The sequence below is a fragment of the Homo sapiens genome, chromosome 17 (genome assembly GCF_000001405.40).
Source record: "Homo sapiens chromosome 17, GRCh38.p14 Primary Assembly".
NCBI classification, from domain to species: Eukaryota; Metazoa; Chordata; class Mammalia; order Primates; family Hominidae; genus Homo; species Homo sapiens.
In genome coordinates, this window is record NC_000017.11 from 42,278,482 (window position 1) to 42,287,325 (window position 8,844).

The 8,844-nt window shown below is 52.5% G+C and overlaps 1 protein-coding gene across 2 annotated transcripts in view, besides 1 other annotated feature; it reads right to left on the reverse strand.

Annotated features, from left to right (window-relative positions):
• Nucleotides 1-8,844, reverse strand: part of STAT5B (signal transducer and activator of transcription 5B) — an 89,194-nt gene that overhangs the window by 79,305 nt on the left and 1,045 nt on the right. The gene's annotated exons all lie outside the window — the stretch shown is intronic.
• Nucleotides 8,731-8,790: an enhancer, noted in NCBI's record as "active region_12192". NCBI's record gives its function as "activates an Ori minimal core promoter by ATAC-STARR-seq in GM12878 lymphoblastoid cells {active_cell/tissue: GM12878}" and the evidence as "EXISTENCE:reporter gene assay evidence [ECO:0000049][PMID:35858748]".

Below are 8,844 nucleotides of genomic sequence, written 5' to 3' on the forward strand. Positions count from 1 at the left end.
GATCACTTGAGCCTGGGAGGTCAAGGGTGTGATGATTTTTTTTTATTTTTATTTTTTGGAGACAGTCTCACAGAAAAAGGTCTCATGGTGTGGTGGCACAATCACAGCTCAAGGCAACCTCCTGGGCTCAAGCAATCCTCCTGCCTCAGCCTTATGAGTAACTGGGACCACAGACGTGCACCACTACTCCCAGATTAATTTTTTAAAATTATTTGTAGGCCGGGCACGGTGGCTCACGCCTGTAGTCCCAGCACTTTGGGAAGCCAAGGTCGGTGGATCACGAGGTCAGGTGTTCCAGACCAGCCTGGCCAATATGTTGAAACCCTGTCTCTACTAAAAATACAAAAATTAGCTGGACGTGGTGGTGCGCGCCTGTAGTCCCAGCTACTGGGGAGGCTGAGGCAGGAGAATTGCTTGAACCCGAGAGGCAGAGGTTGCAGTGAGCCGAGATCACGAAACTGCACTCCAGCCTGGGGCGACAGAGTGAGACTCCATCTCAAAAAAAAAAAAATATTTGTAAAGACAGGGTCTCATTATATTGCCTGGGCTGTTCAAGAACTTATGGCTCAAGCAACCCTCCCTCCTCAGCCTCCCAAAGTGCTGGAATTACATTTGTGAGCCACTGTGCCCAGCCTGAAGCTGTAGTGAGCCATGATTGTGCCACTGCTCTCCAGCCTGGGCGACAGAGTGAGACCTGTCTCAAAAAAAGAAAAAAAAAAAAAAGTACAGGTTCTCAAACCAGACTCTGTCAATTCCTTGAGCTGGGTAATCTTGAGTGTGTTTTCCTCTATCTTCTCGTTTGTAATGTGGTGATAGAGACAGTACCTACCTCATCGGGTTGCGGGAAATAAGTGTTTACTACATGTAAAGTGCTTCACTGTAAAGCACTGTATAGCGGTTAACTACTACTGTGGTGTTTAGTAGCAGCTAAGATGAATACTCCTCTTCCCAAGACCGGCGGTCTAGGACTCAAGCCAGCTGGTTTGTGGCAGCCACAGGGCGCTAGTTTAAATGTCCTGAAGGGGGCCGGGCGCAGTGGCTCACGCCTGTAATCCCAGCACTTTAGGAGGCCGAGGCGGGTGGATCACCCGAGATCGGGAGTTCGAGACCAGCCTAACCAACGTGGAGAAACCTCGTCTTTACTAAAAATACAAAATTAGCTGGGCATGGTGGTGCCATTACAGGATTACATGCCTGTAATCCCAGCTACTTGGGAGGCTGAGGCAGGAGAATCACTTGAAACTGGGAGGCGGAGGTTGCGGTGAGCCAAAATCACACCATTGCACTCCAGCCTGGGCAGCAAGAGCAAAACTCCATCTCAGAAAAAAAAAAAAAAATGTCCTGAAGGGTGGGTGGGAATGCCTCTTGATTCTTGCAGCTCTAGGCACATCTCTGACTGATGGTCACCAGGCACCAAGCTAGACCTGGCTGGGTGTGTGCACAGATGCTGAGGACAGAATGTTCTGGGTCACTACCTCAGCAAAACAGAATGTTGTCATCCTGGGATGGGAAGGCCTGACACCTGCTTCTCTGCTTGACAGTTCTGATGGGGTGGGACCCTCTTCTTCTAGGCCTCGGGGACATATTCCCTTAAATTGAGGGGACACCAGACTTAAGACATGACAGAAAGAAAGAAACTGAACAGGAAGCTAGGATCCTGAAAGACCCCACAGTCCAACCCATCAGGAATGACCCAAGAAGGTACCTGGAGATGCAGCAATGTCCACTGGAGGGTCTCATCCCTTAGTGCACCAGCCTGACCCAGGAGAGAGGCTTGGGGGAAGAGCCTGGGGGTCTAGTCCACAGCCCTTGTCCATGCATGCCCCTGCTCCCATCCTACAGCCTCCTCCCCTCTCTCTCTCATAGATGAACACATGGCTTTCAGAGGGGGCAGCTTCCCTGCTTCACATCCTCCCTCACTCCTGCCCCAGAGATCATGAGGCCATTTTCTGGGAACGTCACTGAAGCCACAACCATGATCCCCTCTGGCCAGAAACCAGAGGCCTTCGTTATTATGGCTTCCCTCCTGCATCCCAGGAGTCAGGCTGACCCTGGGCAACCACCGGCCACACATTTGCTAAGAAAGGGCACTGTGGGAATGTCCCTTTTTCCCTGTGGGGATGAATCCTTCCATAGGGGGATAGGTCAGTACAGGACCCTGGAGCCATGTGGAGAAGGTATAGGATGCTCAACAGAAAAGAAGGCGGGGATGCCAGATCTCCAAGGCCTCAGAATGGCGTGGCCTCGGTTTGGAATGGGCTCTGCAGTTTCGGAGGGCTCTGTCAGTGCCCCTGCTTACTTCTGCCAGAGCATTGGTGGTGAAAAGTTAGATATGGTTCTAAATCCCAGCTCTGCTAACTTACTAGCTGTTGGCCGGGCGCGGTGGCTCACACCTGTAATCCCAGCACTTTGGGAGGCCGAGGCGGGTGGGTCAGGAGGTCAGGCGATCGAGACCATCCTGGCTAACACGGTGAAACCCTGACTCTACTAAAAATACCAAAAATTAGCCGGGCGTGGTGGCGGGCGCCTGTAGTCCCAGCTACTCCGGAGGCTGAGCCAGGAGAATGGCGTGAACCCGGGAGGCTGAGGTTGCAGTGAGCAGAGATCGCGCCACTGCACTCCAGCCTGGGCGACAGAGCGAGATTCCGTCTCAAAAAAAAAAAACAAAAACAAAAACAAAAAAAAACTAGCTGTGTGACTTTGGTCTAGGTACTTAATGTCTCTGAGGATCTCAGTTTCCCATCACGTGTAAATCATAGTTAGGGGGTAGAGTGTAATATATGTTTCAAATCCACAGAATCCTTCCGTGCATTTAAATGCACAAAAGACCCCAGCAACTGTTGTTGCCCCTCCAGAAGGGCCCTGGGGGACAGGAAAGGGCAGAGACTAACTTTTCACCACATACCCTTTTGAATCTTTTGTTACAAAATACATATATCATGTGCAGATGCTCCCTATTAAAACATTAGTAAAATAGACAGTTTTTTTAAAGGAAAAAGGAGAGCATTTGTGAAGGCAACTAAGCACTGTGCCTGGCACTTGATAAAAAAGCATTTTCTCTCTTTCTTTCCCTCAGCCTAATCCCAGCCAGTGTGCTGGCCAGGAGAGAGCTGGTGCTTTGTCACATGGAGGGGAGGGGAGAGGACGGGAGCGATGGATGTGCAGGTGCATGGAGGACTCGCCACCTGGAGAGTCTCACACACCTGCTCTCAGTCTTGCTCCTGTGTGCCTCACCAATCTGGGCTCCCTTCCAGCCAGAGCTAAAGGCTAAAGGGTGGGCTCTCTGGAAAGGCCAAGGATCCCCCGACCCCGCCTCTTGGGACAGGGTCACTGGGCTCTCTCCACCCAGAGTCCTGGGGGATGCAGCATTATCCAGGGAGGGTGGGGCGGACGCAGAGGAGGGAGCAGAGTGCCACTGCAGCCAGTATCTTGCTGGCTTGCCAGGCAGGTTAAGAACTCAAAATTCAGCCCAGCACCAGGCAAAGATGAGGCTGCTGCTGCCACTGTGTGTAGAAAAGCAGCTCAGTGGGACCAGAGCAGGCAGAGGCCAGGGCAGCAGGGGGAGAGTCTTCTGGGAACCATGGTGGGGGTGGTCAGTGAACAGGGGGCTGCCCTGAACCGTCAAAGCTCCGGAAGTTCTGTGCTGGTTTAGGGGCCTTCATTAATCCAACAGATATTTATGAAGACTCTATTGTGGACAAGCAGTGGGACATAGCCCTTTAGGCAATGTGTTAGGGCCATAAGAAGGGGCCTGTAATACAGATGGGATTGAAGGGCAGAGGAAAAAACACCCAGCTCTACTGGCCAAGGCCTCTGAGCACCTACAATGCACCAGCCACTGTGACTGAGTCTTTTTTTTTTAGACAGAGTCTCGCTCTGTCACCCAGGCTGGAGTGCAGTGGTGTGATCTCATCTCACTGCCACCTCTGCCTCCCAGGTTCAAGTGATTCTCCTGCCTCAGCCTCCCAAATAGCTGGGATTACAGGCATCTGCCACCACACCTGGCTAATTTTTTTATTTTTAATAGAGACAAGGTTTCACCATGCTGAGTCTGTGCTGGCTTGGTCAGGCTGGCCTCAAACTCCTGACCTCAGGTGATCCACCTGCCTCAGCCTCCCAAAGTGCTAGGATTACAGGCTTGAGCCACCGCACCGGGCCTGTGACTGGGTCTTAACAGAAATCCCAGCAGTGGGTCTTGCTATTTCTTTACAAGTGAGGATGCTTAGATCCAAGAGGCAGACTCACTCACTCAAGATCCTACAGCAGAGCCAGGGTCTGCACCAGGACCTTATGACTCCAAAGCCTTTGTGTTTTCCTCTAGGCCACACTAACCCTAGGAAAGATGAGGCCAATTTCACCAGGTGGCCAAGGGAGGAATGACATTCCAGGTAGATGGAATGAAAGGGGCTAGTGCTTGGAGTTGAGAGGCCAGCGTAAGGGGAAAAGCCTGGCCGAAGCACTTTTTTGAGGCTTGGAGCAAGGAAGATGTGGGTAGATCTGAGACTTAAGAAACGAAGAAACAATGAGAAACAGATTCTACAGAAAGGAACCCCCTCCAGTCATAACAAAGGAAAGTGGCAGAGTACTGGGAGGTGTCGTGGAAGATGCTCAGCCCCCTCGCACACAACCCCCAGAGGGCTTGAGGTTGGGTACTGGGCTGGCCAAGGCACAAAAGATTTCTTGTTGGGCTGGAAGGAGGAGAAACTAGCTCAGCGGGAAGAGCGGCCTGATAGTCATCATGGATGAGGATGAGAAGCCAGGCTTGACCCAGGGCTGCCCAGGACAGTGCCAATTCCACTCAGCTGCCTGGCTCTGTGTGCCCTCTCTCCTCTCTCCAGGCTCCTGGGCCTGGCCCTGCAATGAGGGGGCTGCAAAGGGTGGGCTCCTCCTGCCCACCTGACTGGCTGGGAAATGTGAACCTGGCACAGACTCTGCATCCTCTTCTCTTCGTCCAGAAAGAAACCGGCCTACAAGCCTCTCCCCCAGGGCAGGCAGGCTGGGCAGCTGGGCAGAGGAAGCAGGACTCCTCTCCTACCCACCCTGTCCAGCCCCACACCCTTCCCCTCATGCTATTCCCAGAAACAGAGGACAGTCACTATGCCTCAGGCAGGATGGCCTTGTGTTCTCTTGGTGACTTCACTGTAAAGTGACTTCCCTGAAGAGTGGTGGATAGGGGACAGCGGCAGGAACGGGCTTCACCCAAGCTCCGGCAGCTCCTTCCCTTCCCCCAGATTTGCACAGAAGTCCTCACCCTGTGCATATAAACACACACCCTCCCTAGGTCCTGATCTGTCTTCTTGGACAAGAATGGGGGTGGCATTTCTATAGGGAGGTACCAGGGCCTGGCCTCAGAGGTGGGGTATACTCTGAGCATGGGCCCATGGCCCCACTTCTAGAAGCCTTCTCCGGTGGGGGCTGGAGTGCAGGTAGGCTGTCCAAGCAGAGGCAAGGTGGGGGTGAAACAGGATGTTTAAGTGCTCCAGGGCTTCTCCCCTTTGCCGCAGGGTGAAAAGATACTTCCTAGAAAGCCTCCAGCTTTCTTGGGAAGGCCCTTCACCCCTACCCCACCTCCCCTCTGGCTCCCATGTAACAGGAACTCTCCTTGAAGAAGGGACTTGGAGCACAGGAAACAAAGGCATCTCTGTACCACCTCCCTCCACCCCCCAAGGAAGGTCAAGTCAAGGTGACCTCAATCTGTTCTCCCCAGGGTAGGGGCATGGGCAGACCTGATCGTCAAGGGCAAGGCAGAAAGGGGACCTGGGATAATTCTTTCTCTCTCCCTCTTTTTTTTTTTTTCTTTTTGTGACGGAGTTTCGCTTTTGTTGCCCAGGCTGGAGTGCAACGGCGTGATCTCAGCTAACTGCAACCTCCACCTCCCTGGTTCAAGTGATTATCCTGCCTCAGCGTACTGAGTAGCTGGGACTACAGGTGTGCACCACCACGCCCAGCTAATTTTTGGATTTTTAGTAGAGACGGGGTTTCACCATATTGGCCAGGCTGATCTCGAACTCCTGACCTCAGGTGATGCACCCGCCTCAGCCTCCCAAAGTGCTGGGACTACAGGCGTGAGCCACCATGCCCGGCCCTTTGGGATAATTCTCTTAATCCATAAACTCAAACCCACCTTCATGTAAGTGTGCACAGAGCACACTGTCCCATTCAATAGAGCAGGGGTGTAGGCTGGGCGAGAATGGAGATGCCATGCTCCGCACCGCAGAAAAATGGTGGGCTAGCCCAGCCCAGGGAGGCCTCTTCACTCCGCCGGTGTGTGCTGGGCTTGGGGAAGCTTAGAAAGGTTATACTGAGACCCTGCCCACAAGGCCCGGCAACTTGGATCCTGGTGCCATCTGTGCACTTACTGGCCAGACAGCTTTGGGCAGGTTTCTTTCATGGACTAATCAAAGGGTGTGATTCTGGCCCTGACTGCCTTCAAGGTTATTGAAAGGATCCGTTGAGTTGAAGAGCACAACCATGTCTGTACACAAATGTGCCTTGATGTAGTTCAGGATACGAATATAGTGTGCCAACTGAAGCCTAGGCTGCAGACTATTATTATTCCTAATAAAATATAGGAGGTCTTCTTTTGGAGAATATATTGCTTTTTTTTTTTTCTTTTCTTTTTTTTTGAGACAGAGTCTGACTCTGTTGCCCAGGCTGGAGTGCAGTGGTATGATCTCGGCTCACTGCAACCTCCGCCTCCTGTGTTCAAGAGATTCTTGTGCCTCAGCCTCCCGAGTAGCTGGGATTACAGGTGCGTGACACCACGCCCAGCTAATTGTTTTGTATTTTTAGTAGACACGAGGTTTCACCATGTTGGTCAGACTGGTCTCAAACTCCTGGCCTCAAGTGATCCTCCCACCTCAGCCTCCCAGAGTGCTGGGATTACAGGCGTGAGCCACTGCACCTAGCCTGGGGAATATATTTCTGTAAGATTTCTAAAATCCTTCCTCACTCCCCATCTAATACTGTGACTTGGATTTGGGGGTGAAGAGCAGTTAGGGGCAAGGAGGCCAGCCTCGGACCGCAGCTCAGTCAGACCCTTGACAGTTTCTGATCTTCCTGAACCCCCATCCCGTGGCCTCAGTTTTCTCCTCCACAGCCTGGTTCCCCAAAATCACCAGGGCACTTTGTGGTGGGAAATCACCCACACAAGGGGACAAACAAGGGGACTGAAAGCAAAAAGAAACCCCAAATTTGACATTTCTGGGTAGTTGTGTTATCTGGAGCCACGACTACAGTCACCTCTTCCCAACCCAACTCTGACACCCTTCCCTCTACTCCCTTGGGTGCCCTTTGCCCATCCTGGGAAAGTTCCATAGCTCCTCCTCCTCCCCACTGCATCTCAAAGGGAGAACAGGCCTGAAGAAATGGAGAGAAACCCAGACAGAATCAGAGAACCAGATGGAGACCTAAGGAGACAAGGGAGAGACACAGAGAGAATAAAAGCCAGAGTGGGGGCCGGGCATGGTAGCTGATGCCTGTAATTCCAGCACTTTGGGAGGCCGAGGCGGGTGGATCACCTGAGGTCGGGAGTTCGAGACCAGCCTGACCAACATGGAGAAACACCGCCTCTACTAAAAATACAAAATTAGAAATACAAAATTAGCCAGGAGTGGTGGCACATGCCTGTAATCCCAGCTACTCGGGAGGCTGAGGTAGGAGAATCGCTTGAACCTTGGAGGTGGAGGTTGCTGTGAGCCAAGATCGCGCCATTGCACTCCAGTCTGGGCAACGAGAGCGAAACTCCATCTCAAAAAAAAAAAAAAAAAAAAAACCCAGAAGGGGAAATGTGCAATGAAAGACACAGATATTCGGGGCCTTACAGTCAGAGACCAAATGAGGGATGGTCAACCAAGGGCACAGCCACTGGGCACAGGGTCAGGGTGGGAGGCACGGGAGGGCTCTGAAAACACAGCCACACACCCTTTTAGGCCCATCCTTCCCATTCTGTACTCTGGCACCTCAATGCTAGCTTTTTAGGACCTAGGACTACCCACACTAAAGCCAAGCCCGGCCCAACCAAGACAGATGTTTGGTGGGTGGGGCTGCCTGCTGGAGCAACAGGCCTCTGCAGGCCCTGGAGGAGAAGTCTAGAGAGGTGGCTGCCTGGAAGAGAGCAGGCAGGACCCCCTCTCTTAAGCAGGCACCCCCACCCCATCAGGTGCCCAGATGTCAGTGCATGGCAAGGGTGGCCCTCTGCCCTCCAGACCTGGGTGAGAGGACTTGAAAACCTGAGGAATCTGCTCCCATCAACTGACTTCCACACCTGCCTGAAGGGAACTGCTGGAGGGCACAGGTGCCAAGTGGGACCCACCCAAATGTGGCAATGGGTTTGTATCCAGCCACCGACAGGCTGCATGACGGTGGCAAAGTCACTTCCCCTCTCTGGCCTTTGTTTTTCCACTTGTAAAATCATCTTTATGGTCACTTCCAGCTGTGGCACTTGGCTTTCATTCCAGTTGACCCCCTAGCTCTGTGTCTGACCCTCCCCTGCCAAATCCATTGCTCAGAGTGGGAAAGGAGAGGAGAGGGACTATACTTCCTCCTCCCTGGGGCCCCCTGCAGAGCATCTGGGAAGCAAGGCTTCCCTACATCCTCCATGCACCCCCTTAGAGTTTTCAATTCCTTTCCTCGTGATCCTGCCAACTAAGACACTGTGACCACACAGAGAAGGTGGGGAGAACGCAGACATTTTGGCTTCTGCAGCTTTGAAGTTCTTTTTTTTTTTTTCCTCTGAAGTTAAAAGAATGAAACTGGGAGAGGTAGTAAGGGGCAAGAAAGGAGAGTGGAAATGGAGAGAAAAGGGCAGCTCTGAGAAGCAGCTGGGGAGGGAGGCAGATGAGA